The sequence below is a fragment of the Homo sapiens genome, chromosome 7 (assembly GCF_000001405.40).
Source record: "Homo sapiens chromosome 7, GRCh38.p14 Primary Assembly".
Taxonomy (NCBI): domain Eukaryota; kingdom Metazoa; phylum Chordata; class Mammalia; order Primates; family Hominidae; genus Homo; species Homo sapiens.
In genome coordinates this window covers 76,432,363-76,456,207 of record NC_000007.14, presented here as the reverse complement: position 1 = coordinate 76,456,207, position 23,845 = coordinate 76,432,363, and the positions used below count along the sequence as shown (strand labels likewise).

The 23,845-nt window shown below is 49.0% G+C and overlaps 1 protein-coding gene across 2 annotated transcripts in view, besides 2 other annotated features; it reads right to left on the bottom strand.

Moving 5' to 3' along the window:
- Positions 10,699–11,608: an enhancer, noted in NCBI's record as "H3K27ac hESC enhancer chr7:76073917-76074826 (GRCh37/hg19 assembly coordinates)". NCBI's record gives its function as "activates a minimal SCP1, AML or CMV promoter by ChIP-STARR-seq in naive H9 embryonic stem cells {active_cell/tissue: H9 hESC(naive)}" and the evidence as "EXISTENCE:reporter gene assay evidence [ECO:0000049][PMID:30033119]".
- Positions 11,609–12,520: an enhancer, noted in NCBI's record as "H3K27ac hESC enhancer chr7:76073005-76073916 (GRCh37/hg19 assembly coordinates)". NCBI's record gives its function as "activates a minimal SCP1, AML or CMV promoter by ChIP-STARR-seq in naive H9 embryonic stem cells {active_cell/tissue: H9 hESC(naive)}" and the evidence as "EXISTENCE:reporter gene assay evidence [ECO:0000049][PMID:30033119]".
- Positions 14,139–23,845, bottom strand: part of ZP3 (zona pellucida glycoprotein 3) — a 44,548-nt gene continuing 34,841 nt past the window's right edge. For both annotated transcript variants that reach the window (NM_007155.6, NM_001110354.2), the window contains 6 exons: positions 23,178–23,281; positions 22,561–22,738; positions 22,053–22,170; positions 15,867–15,958; positions 15,597–15,733; positions 14,139–14,366 (listed from right to left, as the gene is read on the bottom strand). In NM_007155.6, coding sequence (NP_009086.4) covers positions 14,152–14,366; positions 15,597–15,733; positions 15,867–15,958; positions 22,053–22,170; positions 22,561–22,738; positions 23,178–23,281 — 844 coding nt within the window. In that variant the 3' untranslated portion in view covers positions 14,139–14,151. The remainder of the gene's footprint in view (positions 14,367–15,596; positions 15,734–15,866; positions 15,959–22,052; positions 22,171–22,560; positions 22,739–23,177; positions 23,282–23,845) is intronic.

Genomic DNA, 23,845 nt, shown 5'->3' with positions numbered 1-23,845 from the left:
ATCCGCCTGCCTCAGCCTCCCAAAGTGCAGGGATTACAGGCGTGAGTCACCTGCCCAGATGGGTGAGCCCTTTCAAAACATGTTCCAAGGGGCTGGGACTTACATAAGATAATTATTTGGGGAAGACTGGTTTACTCCTCAGGGCTGTAAAGCCATCTTTTTTTTTTTTTTTTTTTTGAGACAGAGTCTCTCTGTGTCGCCAAGGCTGGAGTGCAGTGGCATGATCTTGGCTCACTGCAACCTCTGCCTCCTAGATTTAAGTGATTCTCCTGCCTCAGCCTACTGAGTAGCTGGGATTACAGGCGCCCGCCACCACGTCCGGCTAATTTTTTTTTTTTGTATTTTTAATAGAGATGGGTTTTCACCATGTTGGCTGCAAAGCTATCTTGCTTTTCTTTGTTGTGCAGGTCACACCTGGGTCCTGAGCTGGCGCCATCACCGGAGACGCCAGGTGATGTCCATTCATCAGAAATAATGAGCAAAGCAGCTGTGGCTTCTAATCAGCCCATCCCTCCAGGGTGTCAGATGGAGGCCAATTAGTGGACGCACTAGACAACCAAATTCTGCCTTTCCAAGCAAAACATCAGAAAATGTTCTAGCCCTTAGCATTGATGCTGGAACCCAGTGTCTTGCTTCTGCTTGGGTTTTCATGATCTTTCCTTGCTCTGGGTGAGCTGGGGGCTGGTTCTAGATCAGAACCTTCAGAGGCACTAAGAAATGCCACCTGGAGTGGAGTTAAAGAAGTTATTTTTTTTTTTTAACTTCTACTATTGTCAGAGGCGGGTGAACCAGAGCAACTCCATTTTGAATAGGGGCTGGATAAAATGAGGCTGAGACCTATTGGGCTGCATTCCCAGATGCTTAAGGCATTCTAAGTCACAGGATGAGATGGGAGGTTGGTACAAGATACAGGTCATAAAGACCTTGCTGATAAAACAGGTTGCAGTGATGGCCGGGCGCGGTGGCTCACGCCTGTAATCCCAGCACTTTGGGAGGCTGAGGCGGGCGGATCACAAGGTCAGGAGATCGAGACCATCCTGGCTAACACGGTGAAATCCCGTCTCTACTAAAAATACAAAAAATTAGTTGGATATGGTGGCGGGCACCTGCAGTCCCAGCTACTCGGGAGGCTGAGGCAGGAGAATGGCGTGAACCCGGGAGGCGGAGCTTGCAGTGAGCCGAGATCGCGCTACTGCACTCCAGCCTGCGTGACAGAGCGAGACTCCGTTTCAAAAAATAAATAAATAAATAAATAAATAAATAAATAAATAAATAAAACAGGTTGCAGTGAAGAAGCCGGTTAAAACCCACCAAGACCAAGATGGCGACGAGAGTGACCTCTGGTCGTCCTCACTGCTACACTCCCACCAGCTTCATGACAGTTTACAAATGCCATGGCAACGTCAGGAAGTTACCCTATGTGGTCTAAAAAGGGGAGGCATGAATAATCCACCCCTTGTTTAGCATATCATCAAGAAATAATCATAAAAATGGGTAACCAGCCACCCTCGGGGCTGCTCTGTTTATGGAATGGTCATTCTTTCATTCCTCTACTGTCTTAATAAACTTGCGTTCACTTTATGGACTCGCCCTGAATTCTTTCTTGCGTGAGATCCAAGAACCCTCACTTGGGGTCTGGGTAGGGACCCCTTTCCTGTAACACTATCATTCTCAAGTTTTTTTTTTTTTTTTTTTTTGAGATGGAGTCTCGCTCTGTCACCCAGGCTGGAGTGCAGTGGCACGATCTCGGCTCACTGCAACCTCCGCCCCCCAGGTTCAAGCGATTCTCCTGCCTCAGCCTCCCGAGTAGCTGGGATTACAGGTACGCTGTAATTTTTGTATTTTTAGTAGAGACGAGGTTTCACCATCTTGGCCAGGCTGGTCTTGAACTCCTGACCTCATGATCCACCCGCCTTGGCCTCCCAAAGTGCTGGGATTACAGGCGTGAGCCACCGCGTCTGGCCCATTCTCAAGTTTTGTTTTGTTTTGTTTTGTTTTAGAGACAAGGTCTCACTCTGTTGTCCAGGCTAGAGTGCAGTGATATGATCACGGCTCACTGCAGCCTGGAACTCCTGAGCTCAAGCGATCTTCCTACCTCAGCCTCTTAGAGTGCTGGGATTATAGGCTTGAGCCACTGCATTCAAACTCGAGCCCTTTTTCTTTTTTAATCTAAATTCCTTTTTTTTTTCTTTTTGAGTTGGGGTCTTGCTCTGTTGCCCTGGCTAGAGTGCAGTAGCTGGATCATATCTCACTGCAGCCTCCAACTCCTGGGCTCAAGTGATCCTCCCACCTCAGCCTCTGGAGCTGGGAATACAGGCACTCACCACCATGCCTGGCTAATTTTTATATTTTGTTTGGTAGAGATGGAGTTGCACTATGTTGGCCAGGCTGGTCTCTAACTCTTGGGCTCAAGAGATCCCTCCACCTTAGCCTCCCAAAGTGCTGGAATTACAGGTGTGAGCCACCGCGCCCAGCCCAAATTGATTGTGTGTTTTTTTTTTTTTAATTTCACTTTTCCCCCTGTGATACAGCCCCAGAAGATCCCCAAATAAATTCTTAAAACAGTCTTATGACTCTAATGTCAGAAATCCTATCTACAGGAACAATGGTATGCAATGGTCAGGAACTAGTGCCACCTGACTTTTAGCAACAAGGAAGTGGGCCAAAATGCAGCCTGATGAATGCTTAATTATAACTCTATTTCTGTCCAGAACCCAGCATGCAGTTCTTGTCGCTCCTGTGGGGATAGTTTCATTCTCATTGTAAATGAATATTCTGGTGTGTTGCTTTGGGATATATAAGTTGTTCAAGAAAAGGGATCAAGCCTGGTGCGGTGGCTTATGCCTGTAATCCCAACACTTTGGGAGGCTGAGGTGGGTGGATCACCTGAGGTCAGGAGTTTCAGACCAGCCTGGCCAACAGGGCAAAACCCCCATCTCTACTAAAAATACAAAAATTAGCTGGCTGTGATGGTACGCAACTGTAATCCCAGCTACTCAGCAGGCTGAGGCAGGAGAATCTCTCAAAACCTGGGAGGCGGAGGTTGCAGTGAGCCAAGATCGCGCCATTTACACTCCGGCATGGCTGACAGAGCGAGAATCCGCCTCCAAAAAAAAAAAAAAGAGAGAGAAAGAAAAGCAAAGCACGCTTGGTGACCGTGCTAGGTTTTTTGAGATAAGTTTTTTGTTAAACAAGAGCAATTTTGTTTAAGTTGGGGGTTATTTAAAGATTGTTTCAAAATATGGATTTAGGAAGGAAATAGAAACAAGGTGGGAAGAAGGCCAGTAAGTAGGAGAGATGTGAAAAAAAGTTGTAAGTATGAGGATGTATTTTTGGTAAAGAAAGTTGAAAAAAGAGTAATTTTTCATTTTGCATAAGAGAGGACTTTGGTCAAAATCAAGAGGAAAGGAAAGTAAATTTCTGTCCTAAAGTACATTGCTAATATAAAAGAAGAAGTATAGGACAAAATCAAAGATTTAAGGAAGTGTAGAAGTTGTGGAAGATTAATCTCATGAAAGGAATTTGGTGTGTGATTAAGCTGGCCGAAATTAGAAGGGGATTATTTATAAGATTTTCGGCCAGGCGTGGTGGCTCATGCCTGTAATCCCAGCACTTTGGGAGGCTGAGGTGAGCTGATCACCTGAGGTCAGGAGTTCGAGAACAGCCTGCTCAACATGGCGAAACCACATCTCTACTAAAAATACAAAAAGTTAGCTGGGCATGGTGATAGGCGCCTGTAATCCCAGCTACTCACAAGGCTGAGGCAGGAGAATCGCTTGAATCCAGGAGGTGGAGGTTGCAGTGAGCCGAGATCATGCCACTGCACACCAGCCTGGGTGACAAGAGGGAAACTCTATCTCAAAAAAAAAAAAAGCCATAAATATTTATAAGATTTTCTAAAAATTGAACTTTCTTTTCCTTTATTTATTTTATTTGTTTACTTTTTCTGAGATAGTTTCACTCTGTCACCCAGGCTGGAGTGAAGTGGCTCGATCTCGACTCACTGCAACTTCCACCTCCCTGGTTCAAGCGATTCTCCTGCCTCGGCCTCCTGAGTAGCTGGGATCACGGGTGTGTGCCACCACACCCGGCTAATTTTTGTATTTTTAGTAGAGACGGGGGTCTCACCATGTTGGTCAGGCTGGTCTCGAACTCCTGACCTCATCATCTGCCCGCCTCAGCCTCCCAAAGTGCTGGGATTACAGGCCTGAGCCACTGCGCCCGGCCTAAAATTGAAGCTTTTTTTGAGGCAGGGTCTCACTCTGTCACCCAGGCTGGAGTGCAGTGGCATGATCATAACTCACTGTAGCTTTAATCTCCTGGGCTCAAGTGATTCTCCCACTTCAGCCTCCCAAGTAGACAGGACTACAGGTGTGCACCACCACACCTGGCTAATTTTTACTTTTAGTAGCGGTGAGGTCTTCCCATGTTGCCTAGGCTAAAAACTGAGCATTAATATCAAAAGCACACTGATGGATACAAGGCCACAATTTGGGCCCCTATGTTGCAACAACAGAGTTTTTGTGGACCATTGATCTACCCTTTACAAGAAAATTGTAAAAGATTTTTCTTTACCTTTTAGGTAACTGGCCTAGGAAACAGAGAATCTGTTTCATCAAGAATATTGGCCAGGGCTGGGCGCGGTGGCTCACGCCTGTAATCCCAGCACTTTGGGAGGCTGAGGCAGGCGGATCATGAGGTCAGGAGATCGAGACCATCCTGGCAAACACGGTGAAACCCTGTCTCTATTAAAAATACAAAAAAATTAGCTGGGCGTGGTGGCAGGCGCCTGTAGTCCCAGCTACTCGGGAGGCTGAGGCAGGAGAATGGCGTGAACCCGGGGGGTGGAGCTTGCAGTGAGCCGAGATCACACCACTGCACTCCAGCCTGGGTGACAGAGCGAGACTCCGTCTCAAAAAAAAAAAAAAAAAAATTGACCAGGCACGGTGGCTCACGCCTGTAATCCCAGCACTTTGGGAGGCCAAGACAGTCAGATCACCTGACGTCAAGAGTTCAAGACCAGCCTGGCCAACATGGTGAAACTCTGTCTCTCCTTAAAATACAAAAATTAGCCGGTGTGGTGGCGAGCACCTGTAATCCCAGCTACTTGGGAGGCTGAGGCAGGAGAATTGCTTGAACCTATGAGGCAGAGGTTGCAGTGAGCTGAGATCACACCACTGCACTCCAGCATGGGCAGCAGAGCAAGACTCCCTCTCAAAAAAAAAGGGTATTTATTGTGCTTTCTGTCTTTCAAATATTTTCTCACTTTGGTTTTATTTCACAGTGACTTGTGATCCTACTTTGATCAAGCGTTTTAAAACTTTGATATTTGACAAACTTTTCAAAAATCAAAATTAAGGCAGACACAGTGGCGCACACCTGAATTCCCAACACTTTGGGAGGCTGAGGCAGGAGGATTGCTTGAGCCCAGGAGTTTGAGACCCACCTGGGCAACATAACAAGATCCCATCTCTACAAAAAATAAACAAAATTAGCTGGACGTGGTGGCACATGCCTGTAGACCCAGCTACTCTGGAGGCTAAGGTGGGACAATCACTTGCTTCAAGAGTTTGAGAGTGCAGTGAGATATGATTGTGTCCATGCACTCCAGCCAGGGTGACAGAGTAAGACCCTATCTCAAAAAAAAAAAAAAAATCAAAATTAAGTATTTTTGACCTCAAACTAACTTTAGGATGTTCCAGAGGACCCCTGAACCTCTCAAAGGATCTGCAAAAAAAGAAATATTAAACCAACTGGGCTTATCTGATATATTAAATTATATGAGGCTGGGCACAGTGGCTAATGCCTGTAATCCCAAGGGACGCCAAGGCAGGACGATTGCTTGAGCCCAGGAGTTTGAGACCAGTCTGGGCAAAATATCGAGACTCCTGTATCTACAAAAAAATTTTTAATTTTTTTTTTTTTTTGAGACGGAGTCTGGCTCTTGTGGGCCAGGCTGGAGTGCAGTGGCACCATCTCGGCTCACTGCAAGCTCCGCCTCGCAGGTTCAAGTGATTCTCCTGCTTCAGCCTCCTGAGTAGATGGGATTACAGGCGCCGGCCACCCTGCCTGGCTAATTTTTGTACTTTTAGTAGAGACCGGGTTTCACCATGTTGGCCAGGCTGGTCTTGAAGTCCGACCTCAGGTGATCCACCCACCTCGGCCTCCCAAAGTGCTGGGATTACAGGAATGAGCCACTGCACCCGGACAAAAAATTTAAAAATTTTAAAAATAAAATAAAAAATAAGGCCAGGCACGGTGTCTCATGCCTGTAATCCCAGCTCTTTGGGAGGCCGAGGCAGGCGGATCACGAGGTCAGGAGTTTGAGACCATCCTGGCTAACATGGTGAAACCCCATCTCTACTAAAAATACAAAAAATTAGCTGGGCGTGGTGGCAGGCGCCTGTAGTCCCAGCTACTCTGGAGGCTAAGGCAGGAGAATGGCATGAATCTGGGAGGCGGAGCTTGCAGTGAGCTGAGATTGCGCCACTGTACTCCAGCCTGGGTGACAGAGCGAGACTCCGTCTCAAAAAAAAAAAAAAAGAAATACATAAAATAAATTATAAGAGAAGGATTGGCAAAATAAGAAATATTTCACCTTGAGGTATATTTATATGGATATGTTATTAATATACTGAAAAATTGTATAACATATTTAAAAATCTGATGTGTCTTGGTATAAATGGTATCAGTCAATTTTGGTTCAGAAATAACATTCTTGTCAGTTATGTCGTCATTACCATGGACTCAGACCAGGTTTTGGCCATGGTCACTTGAAGTCTTCATGTCCACACTTAATTGCTTTAGTCTAATGTCTTTCTGAAAGCTTCTTGCAGGCAATTATAATCCCAGAGAGTTATGTCTTCAAGGAGCTTCATGGAAAGAATGAAGTCTGACAAGTACGGGTTTCTAATAACTTTGAGTTCACACTATTGAACTAAATTTCCAAAACTCAGCCAGGCACAGTGGCTCAAGCCTGTAATCCCAGCACTCTGGGAGGCCGAGGTGGGCGGATCACCTGAGGTCGAGAGTTCAAGACCAGCCTGACCAACATGGAGAAAACCCGTCTCTACTAAAAAAAAAAAAAAAAAAAAAAAAAACACAAAAAAATTAGCTGGGCGTGGTAGCATATGCCTGTAATCCCAGCTACTCAGGAGTCTGAGGCAGGAGAATCGCTTAAACCCAGGAGGCGGAGGTTGCAGTGAGCTGAGATTCTGTCGTTGCACTCCAGCCTGGGCAACAAGAGTGAAACTCTGTCAAAAAAAAAAAAAATTCCAAAACTCGAATGAAGAAACTGATGGGTTTGTGAAATTGCTAATACAGATCACAGCAAGAATTAATTACAAGACTGAATGAACTGATGAAAAATAATTATTAATCTTTTTTTTTTTTTTTTTTGAGATAGAACCTCACTCTGTCGCCCAGGCTGGAGTGCAATGGCGTGATCTCGGCTCACTACAACCTCTGCCTGCCAGGTTCAAGAGATTCCTTTGCCTCAGCCTCCCAAGTAGCTGGGATTACAGGCGCTCGCCACCATGCCCGGTTCGTTTTTTTTTTTTTTTTGAGACAGAGTTTCATTCTTGTTGCCCAGGTTGGAGTGCAATGGCGAGATCTTGGCTCACTGCAACCTCTGCCTCCCAGGTTCAAGCAATTCTCCTGCCTCAGCCTCCCTAGTAGCTGGGATTACAGGCATGTGCCACCACGCATGGCTAATTTTATATTTTCAGTAGAGACAGGGTTTCTACATGTTGGTCAGGCTGGTCTCGAACTCCCGACCTCAGGTGATCTGCCTGCCTCGGCCTCCCAAAGTGCTGGGATGCTGGGATTACAGGTGTGAGCCACTGCGCCCGGCCTCATTTTTGTATTTTTAGTAGAGATGGGGGTTTCACCATGTTGGCCAGGCTGGTCTCGAACTCTGACCTCAGGTGATCCGCCTGCCTAGGCCTCCCAAAGTGCTGGGATTACAGGTGTGAGCCACCAAACCGGGCCTGAATCTTTTTTTTTTTTTGATGGCAGGGTCTTGGCTCCGTCACCCAGGCTGAAGTGCAGTGGTGTGATCATGGCTCACAGCAGCCTTGAATTCCTGAGCTCAACCGATCCTCCCACCTCAGCCTCCCAAAATGCTGATTACAGGTGCAAGCCACTAGACCCAGCTGAATTATGGATTTTTAAGGCTGCTTTATGTCAAACATTGTGGGTTCTTTTAATATTGTTTTCCAGATTTAAGGAAACTTTTTTCTTTTAAGCTTTGTATAATTTATAGTAATTTGGTAAAGTACTTTTGAAAACAAAAATGAAAACATTTGCTTTTCCTCTCTACCTGAACCCTCCAGAATTTAGAAGCAATTTATGATTTTTTTTTTTATTATTATACTTTAAGTTCTAGGGTACATGTGCACAACGTGCAGGTTTGTTACGTATGTATACATGTGCCATGTTGGTGTGCTGCACCCATTAACTCATCATTTACATTAGGTATCTCTCCTAATGCTTTCCCTCCCCCCTCCCCCCACCCCACAACAGGCCCTGGTGTGTGATGTTCCCCTTCCTGTGTCCAAGTGTTCTCATTGTTCAATTCCCACCTGTAAGTGAGAACATGTGGTGTTTGGTTTTTTGTCCTTGCGATAGTTTGCCGAGAACGATGGTTTCCAGTTTCATCCATGTCCCTACAAAGGACATGAACTCACCCTTTTTTATGGCTGCATAGTATTCCATGATGTATATGTGCCACATTTTCTTAATCCAGTCTATCATTGTTGGACATGTGGGTTGGTTCCAAGTCTTTGCTATTGTGAATAGTGCCACAATAAACATACGTGTGCATGTGTCTTTACAGCAGCATGATTTATAATCCTTTGGGTATATACCCAGTAATGGGATGGCTGGGTCAAATGGTAATTCTAGTTCTAGATCCCTGAGGAATTGCCACACTGTCTTCCACAATGGTTGAACTAGTTTACAGTCCCACCAACAGTGTAAAAGTGTTCCTCGTTCTCCACATCCTCTCCAGCACCTGTTGTTTCCTGACTTTTTAATGATCGCCATTCTAACTGGTGTGAGATGGTATCTCATTGTGGTTTTGATTTGCATTTCTCTGATGGCCAGTGATGATGTGAGCATTTTTTCATGTGTCTGTTGGCTGCATAACGATTATTCTTATGTTTACAGCAACATGGTTATTTGCATAGATTCAAAAAGAATCTGTTCTCTGGCCAGGCACAGTGGCTCACACCTGTAATCCCAGAACTCCGGGAGGCCGAGGCAGGCGGATCACTTGAGATCAGGAGTTTGAGACCAGCCTGGCCAACATGGCAAAACGCCGTCTCTACTAAAAATACAAAAATTAGCCAGGCGTGGTGGCATGTGCCTGGAATCCCAGCTACTTGGGAGGCTGAGGCAGGAGAATCGCTTGAACCCGGGAGGTGGAAGTTGCTGTGAGCCGAGATTGCACCACTGCATTCCAGCCTGGGTGACAGTGAGATTCTGTCTCCAAAAAAAAAAATAAATAAAATAAAGGAGGGCCAGGCACGGTGGCTCACGCCTGTAATCCCAGCACTTTGGGAGGCCGAGGGGGGCGAATCACGAGGTCAAGAGTTCAAGGTGACTATAGGGAGAAAAATTATATTTCAATAGAAAAACGATAGTTTACCTGTTATTATAGTAATGTTCATTGTTTGAGTTATTTATCTACCTGTAGACTGGATTAGATTCTAGATTCTTCCAGTTTTCTCTAATGTCTGGCTACAATCTCCAGTGAAGAATGAGAACTGGCTGGGCGCGGTGGCTCATGCCTGTAATCCCAACATTTTGGTAGGCCGAGGCAGGAGGAGCACTTGAGGTCAGGAGTTCAAGACCAGCCTGGCCAACATGGTGAAACCCCGTCTGTACTAAAAAAATAAAATAAAATTAGCTGGGCATGGTGGCATGCCCCTGTAATCCCAGCTACTTGGGAGGCTGAGGTGGGAGGATGGTTTGAACCAGAGAAGTCGAGGTTGCAGTGAGTTATGGTGGTGCCACTGCAATCCAGCCTGGGCAACAGAGTGAGACCCCATCTCAAAAAATAAACCCACACCCAAAGTGTTGGTTTACAGAGGCTTTCCAATGCAATAGGAAGCTTCTGGAAACTTTAGGGAAAGAGGAGGATTAAGCAATGGAGTCTAGAGAACCCTCAGTGGCTTGCCACTGCCTTTCATTTCCAGTCTAGTTCCCCTGGGAGGCAGACAGGCCGAGCCCTCTGACATTGCTGCTGGAGGCTGTCTCTCCTGGCAAAGGCCCAGGGAAACTATCCTGCTGAGGCCCATCTGGAGCTGGCAGGGAGCTGACATTCATGGCCACATCTTAGTCATAACTCCTCCCCTCCCCTGACACAGCCACTTCCTCTTTCTGCTGAGAAAAGAAGTTGAATGAAGGACAAGCTCTCAGAAAGTTGCAACCCCTAAGAACTTGAGTACAAGGAAGAGACGGATGTTTATTTCAAGAACCGTTCCCCGATGTCTCCTGGCTCATAGAACAGCTCCAACAACACGTGCTTGGATGCCAAGTGTGCCATGAAGACCAATCCTTGCTATAATCCTGATGGAAAGAACTTCCCCATCTGAAAAGAGGATGGTGATAAGTAAACAGATTGTCAGGGGTAGAAGTACCCGTCGGACCCCAAGCCTGGAGCATTTTGCCAGAGACCTTTTTTTTTTTTTTTTTTGAAACGGAGTCTCGCACTGTTGCCCGGGGTGGTGCAATCTTGGTTCGCTGCAACCTCCACCTCCCGGGTTCAAGCGATTCTCCTGCCTCAGCCTCCCAAGTAGCTGGGACTACAGGCACATGCCACCACGCCTGGCTAATTTTTGTATTTTTAGTACAGATGGGGTTTCACTATGTTGGCCAGGCTGGTCTCGAACTCCTGACCTCGTGATCTGCCCACCTCAGCCTCCCAAAGTGCTGGGATTACAGACATGAGCCACCACGCCCGGCTCAGAGACCTCTTGCATGAGCCATGATTCTACCAAGCGCTCTACTCATTCCCCCAAGAAATCACGTCATCCCCTTTTTACAGATGAAGTTACCTGCTAAGCTAGAAGTGGCAGGAAGAAGCCAGGTGTGGTTTGTGGCTGCTTGGGAGGCTGAGGCAGGAGGAATGCTTGAGCCCAGGAGTTGGAGTCCAGCCTGGGCAACATAGCAAGACCTCGTTTCAAAAAAAAAAAAAGAGTGGCAGATGGGACTAGGGCCTGGGGATATGGCTTCAAGGATGTCTCCCAGCCTGCAGGCCGCATTCTCTGCCATTCCAGTTGATCATCTTGACAGGGAAAGTCTACCGGCACACGCATGCTTAGATGGGCCAGTATCTCCCTTATCTGGCCCATGAGGCCTCCCTCTCCAGGCCAAGCCCCACTCTTTACTAGGCACTGAGGCCTTCCATGCCCCCAGGGCACAGATTCTCCCATTTCTCTCCCCTCTTTTTTTTGAGATATTCTCACTCCAACACCCAGGCTGGAATGCAGTGGCACGCTCTTGGCTCACTGCAACCTCCATCTCCTGGGTTCAAGTGATTCTCCTGCCTCAGCCTCCCCAGTGGCTGGGACTACAGGCACCCACCACACACCTGGCTAATTTTTATATTTTTAGTAGAGATGGGGTTTTGCTATGTTGGCCAGGCTGGTCTTGAACTCCTGGTTTCAAGTGATCCACTCGCCTCGGCCTCCCAAAATGCTAAGATTACAGGTGTGAGCCACCACATCCACCTCCCCATGGTTGAGGATTTGCTTCTGGATCACCACCTCCAGGAAGCCTACCTCTGCAACCCCTAGGCAATTTTGTTTTTTGAGAAGGTCTTGCTCTGTCACTCTGGCTAGAGCGCAGCAGGAGGCAGCAAGGCTGGGACCTGAGCAGTGAGTACAGCTCACTGTAGCCTTGAATTCCTGGGCTCAAGTGATCCTCCAGCCTCAGCTTCCCAAGCAGTTGGGACTACAGGCACGTACCACTGTGCTCGGCTAATTTTTATATTTTGTAGAGATGGGGTCTCACCACGTTGCTCAGGCTGGTCTTGAGCTCCTAGGCTCAAGCCATCTTCCCACTTCGGTCTCCCAAAGTGCTGGCATTACAGGCCTGAACCACTGTATCTGGCGTTTTTGAACCCCAGCCTGTTACTCCCCTACAGATCACACCACAACCTGCTTAGGCCGCAAGCGGCTCACCCGGAACAATCCCTTCGTGCCACAAGTCCCTGGCTCAGTGCCCTTAACCACTCAAATCACCTGGGTTTTTGTTTTTTTTTTTTTTGAGATGGAGTCTTGCTGTTGCCCAGGCTGGAGTACAGTGGCGCGATCTCAGCCCCCTGAAACCTCTGCCTCTCCCGGGTTCAGGCAATTCTCCTGCTTCAGCCTCCCAGCTAGCTGGGATTACAGGCACCCACCACGATGCCCAGCTAATTTTTTGTATTTTTAGTAGAGACGGGGTTTCACCATATTAGCCAAGCTTGTCTTGAACTCCTGACCTCAGGTGATCCACCTGCCTTGGCTTCCCAAAGTGCTGGGATTACAGGCGTGAGCCACCATGCCCACCCCACCCTGGGATTTAAGATGCAAATTTCTAGGTCTGGGATGGGGCTTTAAATGATACATTTCTAACAAATTCTCAGGTGATGCCAACGTTCACAGACCACACTTAGAGTATCAAAGGCCTTCCTGCTCTCAGTAGGTCCAAAGCTACCCAAACCTTGCTCTGAATGCACTATAGACATGTCTATACCCGAGTCAACACGCTGGAGCCCCTGCCCTCAGCCAGAAGGGCCAGAGATAAGCACCATGCCAGTTGCACCTGAGCATCTTTCAGCTTTCATCAGTTTATGCCTAATCCTGCTCAGTAGGTGCCACCCCCATGTTGCCCATGAGGACTGGCAGGCTCACAGCAAGTAGCCAGCCAGGCTGGGATGCTGCAGCGCAAGTGAACTTCCCCGAGTGAGAATGGCTTGAGTTTGGGGCAAGGCTGGAGCCAACTACTGAGGGATGTGAAGCCTCCCACAGAGGTACCATGAACACCTTCCCCAGCAAAGGGGGCACAAGTTCCCTGGGCACCCTCCTTGGGGCACAATTCCCTTATTCACTCCTAGGAACTATGGCTGAAACCTGGGGGAGGGAAGCAGCCTATTTAGGGAGTGCGATAAAGGTAGGGGGAGGTTGAGAAGCAGCTCCCCCCAGTGACAGTGAGGCCTCATGTCTATAATCCCAGTGCTTTTGGAGGCCAAGGAGAGAGATCACGTGAGGCCAGGGGTTCGAGGCCAGCTTGGGGAACATAGCAAGACCCAGTTCCTACCAAAAATAGAATAAATTGGGCACAGTGGGGCTCATGCCTGTAGTCCCAGCAACTCAGGAAGCTCAGGCAGGAGGATGGCTGGAGACCAGGAGTTCCAGGTTGCAGTGAGCTGTGACTATACTACTGCACTCCAGCCTGGGCAACACAGCCAGACCTTTCTCTCAAAAGGGACAAATCAAAACAAAACCAAAACCAAAGCAGGTTCTCAGCTCTCCTGAGGCTTCCTACCCCCAAAGCAAAAGTACCCACCTCAGAGCCACCTCAGGACCACCGGCTTATGACATTAGGCTGCCTCCTGGAATGGCTTGGAGTGCCAGTCACCCCTTGCTGCAGCTTTGACAAGTTCATACCAACATGTCCCAAGAATAGCTTCAAGCCCAAGGTGACAGCTAAGACCAGGCAGAAGCAGTGCTCTGATCACTGCCCTACTGGGAGGGCCCAGTCATGACTGGCCTTCTGGCCTCTAGCATCTGGACAGAGCTGCCTGCCTGCTTGCCTTGGAGAAGTGGGCCTGGAAGCTCTCTCCTCCCCACTCCCATGTCTAGAGTCAAATCCATGGGGGCCAGAGATATAAGATTCTTTGCTAGCCTAGAAGTAAGGTGGGTCCAGCCAGACTGACCTTCATCTAAGAGTTTCCATGTTGGTTCCCATGGAGGTGATAGATTATAGTTGTCTAAGGACATGAACCCTGCCCTGTTTACAGTAGAGACACAGTAGTGCTTGCTGGACTATGCTATGTGAGTGCACGGGGCGGGTGGTATACAGTCGTCCCCACCCGACACAGTCAGTACTAATTCTGACCTTCCATCTGACCACCACACCACGACCAGATATTGCTTTCTTCTTTTATTCGGAAGCAGACACAGGGTGGGAGGCAGTGCGACACCTCCTGGTGAGAACCAGGATAACAGCAGTCAGAGTCAGGGACACCACCACAGCCAGGCCTACGCCCAGCAGCACCACTGAGGTGTCAGAAGGCAAAGCCCACTGCTCTACTTCATGGTCACCCCTCCTGTCCAGGAAGATCAGTGGCCCCACGGTGACATCTGCTTCTTCTGTCACTGTGAAAGGAGAACACACAACCAAGGGTTATCTTAGTCCCTAACCGGGAACTGGGTTGGAGGTTTTATTCTGCCTCAGTGGGCTAAACTAATATGTTGTCTTTTTTGTGTGGGCTAATAAACAGTTTCTAGACAAAAAAAACACAGCTTTCTCGGCCAGGTGTGATGGCTAATGCCTGTAATCCCAGCACTTTGGGAGGCTGAGGCAGGCAGATCACCTGAGGTCAGGTGTTTGAGACCAGCCTGGCCAACACGGCAAGACCCGTCTCTACTGAAAATAAAAAAGTTAACTGGGCATGGTGGCACATGCCTGTAGTCTCAGCTACTTGGGAGGCTGAGGCAGGAGAATAGCTTGAACCTGGGAGGTAGAGGTTTCAGTGAGCAGAGATCGTGCCATTGCTCTCCAGCCTGGAGGACAGAGCTAGACACCATCTTGGTGCAGGGGAGGGGGAAGAAAAAAGAAAAAGACAGCTTTCTCATACGGAGAAAGCAGGTCACCCAAGAGGGATTCCCTAGTACATCATCTTTTTTGTAGAGACAGGGTCTTGCTATGTTGCCCAGGCTGGTCGAGAACTCATGGGGCTCAAGCGATTTCCCTGGCCTCAGCCTCCCCAAGTGCTAGGATTATAGGCACAACCCACTGTTCTGGCCAGATTATTATTTTTTTTTTGAGAGACAGTTTTACTCTTGTTGCCCAGGCTGGAGTACAATGGTGCAATCTCGGCTCACTGCAACCTCTGCCTCCCAGATTCAAGTGATTCTCCTGCCTCAGCCTCCCAAGTAGCTGGGATTACAGGCATGTACCACCACGCCCAGCTAATTTTTTATTTTTAGTAGAGATGGGGTTTCTCCATGTTGGTCAGGCTGGTCTCGAACTCCTGACCTCAGGTGACCTGCCCGCCTTGGCCTCCCGAAGTGCTGGGATTACAGGCCTGAGCCACTATGCCAAGCCAGATTATCTTAACAACTGCTATATTTCCCCTACATGCCTAATTATGTCTCAGTAGAAGCCTAGGATGACAGCAGATCTCCCTGGCTGCCACCGAGGTGGAAGGCTGAGAGCCCCTCCTGCTTAACCCCAAGATTTGTGTTAGGGAAAGGTAGCTGCAGGCCTAGGTACAAACAGTTTTAATGGAGGACAAGGGAAAATACCATCACCCTGAAATGACAGCAGGTACCCTCAACTGAGTAAGGGACAATGAACAGCCTCTTGGCCATTCTGTGACATACCATGCCTGCGGTTACGGGAAGCAGACCTGGACCACTGGCTCATGACATGAGGCTGCCTCCTGGAATGGCTTGGAGTGCCACAGTCACCTTTGTTACAGCATTGACAGATGTCAGCCGAGCCTTCCACTGGGAACCAGCTGAGATGAAAGAGAAGCAGCTTAGATTTTTGTTGCCTGCAGGAAGCAGTTTGCTGATAATATATTGGGGGAAATAGACAAGGGGTCGCCGATTCAGTTTCTACTCCAGTCACGGAGCACCTGTCCTCCTCACCTGTTGGAAGGCTTGCTGAAGGAACAGGCCTTGTTGAGTTCATCTGGGTCCTGCTCAGCTAGGGTGACCTTCAGGTGGCAGGTGATGTATATCTGCAAGGAATAACAGCTATTTCCAGGCCGAGTTCCAGGCTGTGCCTGGGAGTTTAACACACCAGTTCTCTTATAACCCTCAACCCTTTAAAGAGTGAGAAGGGGCCGGGTGCATTGGCACACACCTATAATCCCAGCACTTTGGGAGCCCAAGGCGGGTAGATCACCTGAGGTCAGGAGTTCGAGACCAACCTGGCCAACATGGTGAAACCCCATCGCTACTAAAAATACAAAGTTAGCTGGGCGTGGTGGTGGGTACCTGTAGTCCCAGCTACCTGGAAGGCTGAGGCAGGAGAATCACTGGAACCTGGGAGGCAGAAGTTGCAGTGAGCCGAGATCATGCCACTGCACCCCAGCCTGGCTGACAGAGTGAGACTGTCTCATAAAATAAACAGGGGGAAGGAAGAGCCTCATCTCTAAGATGGTGTAAAGGTTCACTTACCCAATGTTAGAGCAAGTAGCAACTAGTTTTAGACTGGAATCCACCACTTATTCCCCTGATCTTTTCCAAACTTACCCAATCATTGAGCATGCTTGACCCTGGGCTTCTGAGACAGGGCCTGTCACCCAGGCTGGAGTACAGTGGTATGATGATGCCTCACTATAGCCTTGACCTCCTGGGCTCAAGGGATCCTCCCACCTCAGCCTCATGAGCAGCTGGAATTACGGGTACAAGCCACTACACCTGGCTAATTTTGGATTTTTTGCAGAGATGAGGTTTTGCCATGTTGCCCAAGCTGGCCTCAAACTCCTGGGCTCAAGTGATCTGTCCGCCTCAGCCTCCCAAAGTACTGGGATTACAGGTGCCAGCTATCCGTGCCTGGCCAGTCCTGGGCTTAACTCAGCATTGCTAAACCCGCGCCCATCCCCAGGTGACCGAGGTGAGTGGTAGACACCTTAATAGCTAGCAGCTTAGCTGGGCTTCTGACGCTGCCACCTGCCACTTGACTAGTTGACAAGCTACTTTTCTTCAGGGATGTAGTCACTGTATTGCCAGCTAAGGCAAGACCAAGTTGTTTCTGGGACCTGAGGTCCTTGGGCACATAAAGAAGCCTTTTGGACTTGCTTCTGTGGAGTTTCCATTTCAGACTTAAGAGGTTTTTTTTTTTTTTTTTTTTGAGGTGGAGTCTTGCTGTTGCCTAGGCTGGAGTGCAATGGCACGATCTCAGCTCACTGCAACCTCTGCCTCCTAGGTTCAAGCAATTCTCCTGCCTCAGCCTCCCAAGTAGCTGGGATTACAGGCACTTGCCATAATGCCTCGCTAATTTTTTTGTATTTTTAGTAGAGACAGGGTTTCACCATCTTGGCCAGGCTGGTCTTGAACTCCTGACCTTGTGATCCACCTGCCTTGGCCTCCCAAAGTGCTGGGATTACAGGCGTGAGCCACTGCGCCCGGCCAGACTTGAGTTTGATGGCTCACTCTTTGGGCAAGCTTCCCTGGGCTTTTCTTCCTTGCACATACCTCTGCTATTAGTCAAGCCTACGTCAGTCTCCCTTCACCTGTAAGGGATATGACGACCAGAAGACTCACCAGGCTGATACCCTGACAGTCCTGGCCTCTGGGAAACGTTTACCCACCCTCGTTAGACAAGTACGAGGGAATGAACCCAATATGAGCTCCTGCTGGGAGCTGAAAGACCCCCCACCACCCAGGGAATAGTCAACTACCCTGTAAGCACTGCCCCGCTACCCTTTTTTTTTTTTTTTTTTTCTGAGACGGAGTCTGTCTCTAGTCCAGGCTGGAGTACACTGTAGCCACTACCTCCGAGGTTTAAGCGATTCTCTTGCCTCAGCCTCCCAAGTAGATGGGATTACGGGTACCCACCACCACACCAGGCTAGTTTTTGTATTTGTAGTAGAGATGGGGTTTCCCCATGTTGGCCAGGCTTGTCTTGAACTCCTGGCCTCAAGTGATCCACCTGCCTTGGCCTCACAAAGTGCTGGGATTATTGGCATGAGCCACCGTACCTGGCCAAGCCTTCTCATTTTAGACTGACATTCCATCCTGCTGCTGGGGCTAGGGGCCATTCTGACAGAGCCAGGGCTCAGTCTAGCCTTGGCCCGTCCCCAGGTCAGTTTCCCTTCATATTTCAGGCAGGGCTAAAATTCCTCCCTGCTCAACCTCGGGCAGAGCATGGCAATTCTGCCACCTTCCAGCAGAAGCCTCAGAGCCACAAGCCTCAGTCACCACCTAGTGGCCAAGTACACCAGCAGAGAAACTTGAAACCATGTAAATTCAGACTTTTAGAAACAAGCCAGTTTAGCAGTTGTCCAGCTGCCCATCTTAGCCACCTGCCCTGCAAGTAAGAAGCTTCCAAGGCCCTGTTGTCTATTCCACAAAGGAAATGTACTTTCATCCTTAGCTTTTTCCTAGTATGTTTTTCTGGTGCTAACTGGAGTCTAAGATCCCAGGGCAGTTCCCCTATAGCGGCCTTTTAGAAGCAGGGTCTAGGCTGGGCGTGGTGGCTCATGCCTGTAATCCCAGCACTTTGGGAGGCTGAGGTCAGTGGATCACCTGAGGTCAGGAGTTTGAGACCAGCCTGGCCAACATGGTGAAACCCCATCTCTACTAAAAAAAAAAAAAAAAATACAGAAATTAGCTGGGCATGGTGGCAGGTGCCTATAATCCCAGCTACTTGGGAGGCTGGAATGGAAGAATTGCTTGAACCTGGGAGATGGGAAGTTGCAGTGAGCTGAGATTACGCCATTGCACTCTAGCCTGGGCAACAAGAGTGACACTCCATTTCCCCCCAAAAAAAAACAAAAAAAAAAAAAAAAAGAGGGGAGTGTGATAGCTCATGCCTGTAATCCCAGCACTTGCTGAGGCAGGTGGATCACCTGAGGTCAGGAGTTTAAGACCAGCCTGACCAACATAGTGAAACCCCATCTCTACTAAATATTCAAAAATTAGCCAGGCGTGGTGATTGAGTGCCTATAATTCCAACTATTAGGGAGGCTGAGGCAGGAGAATGGCTTGAATAAGGAGGTGGAGGTTGCAGTGAACCGAGATCATGCCATTGCATTCCAGCCTGGGTGACAGAGCGAGACTCTGTCCAAAAAAAAAAAAAAAAAAAAAAAGTACACAGGGTCTTGCTCTGTTGAGGGCAATAGCACCATCATAGCTCACTGCAGCCTTAAACACCTGAACTCTGATCCTCCCACCTCGGCCTCCCAAGGTGCTGGGATTACAGATGTGAACCACCGTGCCCAGCCACCCTATTGCTCTGAAATAGGGTTGTTCCTTCTTTGTGCCATGGGACATAGTCTACTGAGGCATCATCAATCCTACCTTTGAAGGGGGGCCCTCCAAGGGCTCAGACTATCTTCCATTAAACAGCACTGTTCTCTGGTCTTAGTTACCCCTCAACCCCCAGAGATTGAGAAACCACCTCAGTCCATACCCATGCTGACCGCTACCACCTCTGTGAAAACTTCTCTCCATCTTCTTCCCAAATGGCCACACCTGAGGTCAATCTTGACTTCCTCCCACAACCAGGATCCTCTCCCCTAAGGAGCTATCGGTCACTGATCCGAGGGCCAGGACTCTTTTCCCAAATCTGCCCTCCTTTATCCCCAGCCCCACTGAAGCAGGGCCCACCACTGAGAGCTTCAGGCCATCTCATCAATATTAGATGCTTTTCCCTTTTGCTACCCTACTGATCTGTGTGTTGATCTTTCTCTTCCCACAAGGCAGCTGCTGGAGGAGGTGAAGTGGCATCGATGTCATCTTTGAAAAGTTTCTACTTTGTCCCTTAATGCCACCCTGACGTATGAGCCTCTGCTTCAGAGGTTTGCAAGCCTGGCTGCGTATTAGAGTCACCTAGGAGCTTAAGTGGCTTTTGATGCATTTCCAAGTAGAATAAGGTAGGTCAGTAGATGGAGGATAACAGTAAAATGCTAGCAGGCCGGGTACAGTGGCTCACGCCTGTAATCCCAGCACTTTGGGAGGCCAAGGCAGGTGGATCGTTTGAGGTCGGGTATTCAAGACCAGCCTGGCCAATATGGTGAAACCATCTCTACTAAAAATATAACAGGCACTCAGTAGTGGCGTATGCCTACAATCTCAGCTACTTGGGAGGCTAAGGCAGGAGAATCGCTTGAGCCTGGGAGGTGGAAGTTGCAGTGACCTAAGATTGGGCCACTGTACTCCAGCCTGGGTGACAGAGACCCTCTCAAAAAAAAAAAAAAAAAAAAAAAAAAAAAAAAAAAAAAAAAAAAAGGGGGCGGGGGGCGCGTGGTGGTTCATGCCTATAATCCCAGCACTTTGGGAAGCTGAGGCGGTTGGATAATGAGGTCAAGAGTTCAAGACCAGCCTGGCCAAAATGATGAATCCCTGTCTCTACTAAGAAATACAAGGATTAGCCGGGCATGGTGGCAGGCGCCTACAATCCCAGCTACTCAGGAGGCTGAGGCAGAATTGCTTGCACCCGGAGGCAGAGGTTGCAGTGAGCCAAGACCGCACCATTGCATTCCAGCTTGGGTGACAGAGTGAGACTGTCTCAAAAAAAAAAAAAAAATGCTGGTGGTAGAACCTAGATGGTGTGCACACTGAAGTTCATGGAGTTTTACAGCAAACACCTATGAAGATTTAGTTAATGTTACAAAATGTGACACCATGCCCTACCCCAATAGAGTGAAGGTATGAGACTCTCTACAATCAGTATTTTTACAACCTCTCCAGATGATTAGTATAGAGCCAGCACTGGAAACCCCTACTTTAATCACTTCCTAACCACCTATTCTAAGCTCACCGCCTCACCTCTCATCTCAGTGAGCTTGTTTAAAAGCTACTTGAGGCTGGGCATGGTGGCTCACGCCTGTAATTCCAGCACTTTGGGAGACCGAGGCAGGCGGATCACCTGAGGTCAGGAGTTTGGGACCAGCCTGGACAACATGGTAAAACCTTGTCTCTACTAGAAATACAAAAAAATTAGCCAGGCATGGTGGCGGGTACCTGTACTCCCAGCTACTTGGGAGACTGAGGCAGGAGAATCACTTGCACCTGGGAACCTGGAGTGGCTGGGACTACAGGTGCCCACCATCATGCCCAGCTAATTTTTTGTATTTTTAGTAGAGGGGGTTTCACCGTGTTAACCAGGATGGTCTCAATCTCCTGACCTCGTGATCTGCCCGCCTCAGCCTCCCAAAGTGCTGGGATTATGGGCACGAGCCACCGCACCAGGCAATTTACTTCTAACCACTTACCAGTACTTCCCGGCTAGATGTTGGTCCTTGCACCTGCACTTCCTACTGCATCCCTCCCCCACCTCAGCCATTAGGCAGTTCCCATCTTCATTCCTTCCTTCTCCTTCCCTCTTAGTGTCAATTTGAGTTTTCTAGTTTAGGTTCTCAAGGGGAGGACCCAGACTGGCAGAACCAACACTTAAGAATGCAGATTCTAGGCTTCACTAGACCACCTGAATCAAACCCTGGGTTGGGGCCCAGTCATCAATTTCAACAAGCCCTCCAGCTGAGGATGATGCCTTCAGAATCACTAGCCTAACCTATGACCAAGTTCAAGAAGCCACCCTGGCTACGAAGTTCACACTGGTTTTCTTTGCCCCTGCAGAAAGCCTCCAGGAAGGCTAACACCTGCCTTTTTTTTTTTTTTTGGAGATGGAGTCTCACTGTCACTCAGGCTGGAGGTGCAGTGGCACAATCTCTGCTCACTGCAACCTCTGCCTCCCAGGTTCAAGCTATTCTCCTGCTTCAGCCTCCCAGGTAGCTGGGATTACAGGTACCCAACCACCACACTCAGCTAATTTTTTTTGTATATTTAGTAGAGTCGGGGTTTTACTATGTTGGCCAGGCTGGTCTTGAACTCCTGACCTCAAGTGATCCACCCCCCTCGGCCTCCCAAAGTATTGGGATTACAAGCATGAGCCACCGTGCCCGGCCTCTACCTCTTAAGGCTTCATATTGTTCATCCTTCTGCTTGAAGGCCTCGCTAAAGCTCATGGCTTTACTTGTAAGTTTGAGTTACTGGGACACAGCTCTAAGTCATTTGCTTAGGGGTGGAGCTAGTGAGTGACCCCATTCAGTAGGATATGAAGGTTGCAAGTTCAGCCTTCTTTCAGGCTGTTAAAGCTCTTACCATGTTTCTGGAGTCATTAGCAAAGTGGAAGACATCCACTGTGAACTGGAGTGTATCTGGCCCGGGTCGAGGAACTTTGAATGCAGAAGAGGCATCAGTGAGACCGTCGACAAGACAGCTTGGAAGAAAACAGAACGGTATTAAAGCCAGACAGGTGGGCCGGGCACCGTGGCTCACGCCCATAATCCCAGCACTTTGGGAGGCCAAGGTGGGTGGATCACTTGAGGTCAGGAGTTCGAGACTAGCCTGGCAAACATGGTGAAACCTTGTCTCTACTAAAAATACAAAAATTAGCCAGGCATGGTGATGGGCACCTGTAATCTCAGCTACTTGGGGGGCTGAGGCAGGAGAATCACTTAAACCTGGGAGGCAGAGGTTGCAGAGGGCAGAGATCAAGCCTCTGTATTCCAGCCTGGGTTACAGAGTGACACTGTCTCAAAAAGCCAAACAGGTGGCTTTAGGGTCATTTTGCTAGGAAGGTTCTCTAGGCAGGGAGCCCAGTGCTCACCCATGGAAGTCCACGATGGTGTGATAAGGGGAGGCATTCTGGTCTGGTGTCGGTGTGGCCACGCAGTGGTCCACAAACAACCGCAGTGGCACGTGGCTGCCAGTGTGGATTTCTGCCTGGAGGTGGGCTGCATCTCCCAGGTGGAAGGTGGGGGACCTCTTCTCAGCGTTCCAGTTCTCTGAAAGACACAGTCAGCTGGGCATGGTGGCTCATGCCTGTAATCCCAGCACCTTGGGAGGCTGAGGCAGGTGGATCACCTGAGGTCAGGAGTTCGAGACCAGCCTAGCCAACGTGGCAAAACCCCATCTCTACTAAAAATAGAAAAGTTAGCTGGGTGTGGTGTCAGAAGCCTGTAGTCCCAGTTACTCGGGAGGCTGAGGCAGGAGAATCGTTTGAACCCCAGGAGGTGGAGACTGCAGTGAGCTGAGATCGTGCCACTGCACTCCAGCCTGGAGGTCAGATCAAGACTGTCTCAAAAACCAACCAAAACCAACCAAAACCAACCAAAACCAACCAAAACCAAAACCAAACAAACAAAAAAAAGACACAGCCAAGGGCAGGGGTCTGAGATGGCCCAGGTCTTTCCACAGATGTCCCACCCAGCCTTCTTCTCTTACCCTCCATCAGACGCAGAGAGAAAGTCAGCTTCTCCTCTGAGAACACCGTGGTCCTGAAGGGCAACCAGGTGGGCAGGATGGCCTGGCTGCTCACATTGCCCTGCCTGAGAGAAGAACAGCAGCTGTGCACACCTGCCTCAGGTCACACCCACCTGGGCCCCCACTGATGGGGAGTATCTCACTGCTACCCCACTACAGGGTCCTCAGCTATGGCCCAGCCAGGTAGCTGGTGCGAGATGGCTGAACAGACACCTTGAGCCTGAGGCTGCCCCTGCACCCTCCTGAACTTCTGCACCTGTGAGTGGCCTAGCCATCCTAACTGATGCTATGATGCTATCTGGGCCGCTGAAGACAGATACAGCTGAACCTAGGAGTTTGGTTTCTAGACTGAGATCTGCTCCCTCTTGAGCCCTGGACCTGAGTGCGGTGGCTCATGCCTGTAATCCCAGCACTTTGGGAGGTGGAGACTGGAGGATTGCCTGAGGCTAGGAGTTTGAGAGCAGCCTGGACAACATAGCAAGACTCTATCTCTATAAAAAAGAAAAGAGGCCAGGCACGGTGGCTCAAGCCTATAATCCCAGCAGTTTGAGAGGCCGAGGCGGGCGGATCATGAGGTCAGGAGATCGAGACCATCCTGGCTAACATGGTGAAACCCCATCTCCACTAAA